Source organism: Homo sapiens, chromosome 10 (assembly GCF_000001405.40).
Source record: "Homo sapiens chromosome 10, GRCh38.p14 Primary Assembly".
Taxonomy (NCBI): domain Eukaryota; kingdom Metazoa; phylum Chordata; class Mammalia; order Primates; family Hominidae; genus Homo; species Homo sapiens.
This window is the reverse complement of record NC_000010.11, coordinates 56,622,209-56,624,726: the sequence shown is the minus strand read 5'-3', so window position 1 is coordinate 56,624,726 and position 2,518 is coordinate 56,622,209. Positions and strand designations below refer to the sequence as shown.

The window sequence follows — 2,518 nt, the reverse complement described above, 5'->3', positions numbered from 1 at the left end:
ATTGCATCCATCCAGAGGCTTGATCACCAATGCAATGGAGACCCAATAGCAGGTGCCCTTATTGGCACTACTGTTGTGCCTATATTCCTGATGAAGAAAATAATGTCACAGATGCTTTACATCATTTGTCAACTCAGATCTATGATATAGCCTGATTAAGTTTCTTTGACTCATTCTCAAATTTGTTACACACCTTTCCTACTCATTGGAGTTATATTTTGCTAATAGGCATCTTAATTTTAGTCACATCCTGCTTTTTATGCTGTTGTGTGTACTGGGGGTGCATCCTGTGTGTAAGAGTTATGGCTATACATTATAGACTTGTGTAGTTTTTCCCCTAGTACTTTGCTCATTGCCTCTCACATAAGATTGGCAGAAAGAATGTAAGAGCTGGGGACAGGATGGATTGTAGTGTGATGGGTCCCCCACAAGGTTACTTAAGGGTGAATATCTGCAGCCTGAAACCTAAACTCTGGGCAATGATCCAAGGAGCAGGTGTCTCTGAGAACCCAAACATCTTGAAGAATATCTGACAACCTCAGATAAAGTCCCATCACATACACACACACACAGTAGGCAAAGAGCAGAAAATTAGCCTAAAAGCAGCTTAGAGATCCCCAAAGCTGTCCTGCTGCCATCCAGGAGCACCTCGTATTTAGGTCCTAATAAACTCATCTACTCACCAAACTGGACTTTTCTGAGTCATTCTTTTGTCTCTCAGCTCCCTCCCTGTTTGGAGGAAGGTTTTTTTTGTTTGTTTGTTTGTTTACAATTCCAGGTTTTCTTGTTACAGTTCTTGTAAGAATTATGTATTTAAAATTGTATATATACCTGTGTGTATATATATATATATATATATATACACACACATATACACAATACATACACACACACACACACACACACACACATATATATGAGCCGGAAACTACCATTTGTGTGATTTCAGTGATTCCATACACACGGCAAATATTCAATTATCAGCATTTGCAATTTGTATTGCTCAACAGAAAAATGAATGGTAAAATTCATGCTAATAACTGAAAATGTTAATTTTTCTTACAGCAACATCAACAGCATGTAAATAAACATTTGAGGTCAACAAACATTTTAATTTTAGTATCCTAAAGGTCATAGGTCATGTTTCTCCTGTGTTTTGAGCAAAAGTCTCTGCAAATCATGTTGCCAGCCCTCACAATACTGTTCTGTGATGACTCTGGCCATTTGGGATTAATGTGGAAGGGAGAAGTACAAACCTACCTTTGTATTGGCACTATGAAGCAGAAAAGATATAGCAGTGATACATTTAACTTTAAGGGAATCATTCTGAGTTCTATATACACTAAAAGGGAATGAGAGATAATCCACCGAGTCCTGTGCTGAAAGATACAGATGAAGGTCAGTTAATGAAATACTAACATCAAGACATCATTGATGCAGGCCTGTCTAAAAATTAACTTGGTCTTTACAGCATTGTTTCCTTGAAAACAGCCACATTAAGATAAACTGGCTGTGTTTTGTCTGCTTCGATTGGAACACAGCTGGTTGAATATTTGTAAGTTAGCATGCTGGCTTGGCTCTGCATGCCTAAAATAGTATAAAAGATTGATGGGAAAGGGGGCTCTTGCTTCTATGTTTTAAGATGACCAACACACTTATTGGCTTTTTTCTGGGAAGCTCTGGGTGAATTAAGGGGATAAAATACATTCTGTATTTGGTAGCTCGAAAACTTCCTGATGAGATGAACATGTTGTGCCTTCTGTATCTCCTTCCTTGTATCCTTTTTATAAAGCCAAATAAATACAGCATTAGATTAAACTTATTTGTTTCTCATGAGTCTGGTTGCCAGTACAATTTCAGAACCACAGCTGTCCTGCCATTGAGTAGAGTGAGGAATTGTCTAGGCTTTCTTTGATTCTATAGGACCAATCACTATGTTGTGGGAGAAAGAACAGTGGTGGGAAGGGAATGAAGAGAAGTTGATCGATGCCTAAAGGCCCACCAACCCACCTAGGAATTATAGTAGTGAAATCTCTGAGGCAAATAACAGGGGATAAATACAACTATTGAAATCTGGAGATATAATATTATCCCCTAGGGAATTGCCAAAGTGTATGGTCAAGGAGAAAAATGAGGAGATAATAGCTAAAGATAGTTGTTTGGAGTTTGTATTATTAGCCGTAATGAAAGTGAAAGTGCTTGAGAGAGAGGTAGTGAAACCAAAGCAGCAATATGTTGAGTGCCTGAGACAAACATGTTCACACTGTAAACAAAAAGTCTTACTGGAGACCTGGAAAAACATTGCTTTAATCATGGCACAGCTTCATGACTGGTCATCAAAAATGTGATTTTGGGGTCAGATAGTGATAGAACCAGAGGCTGTAGTATAGGTATCACTTCATTGAGAAGAACCTTTAGAGACTAGAAGTCTCTATTTTTCTTGAATATTAGATTATAATTTCTGAGGGCTAACGTTTATTTGTGGATACAGCAGAGCCAAAAGGAATGTGTGATCTGT

General features: G+C 38.0%; 1 annotated feature.

Moving 5' to 3' along the window:
* Window positions 2,121-2,200: an enhancer, noted in NCBI's record as "active region_3382". NCBI's record gives its function as "activates an Ori minimal core promoter by ATAC-STARR-seq in GM12878 lymphoblastoid cells {active_cell/tissue: GM12878}" and the evidence as "EXISTENCE:reporter gene assay evidence [ECO:0000049][PMID:35858748]".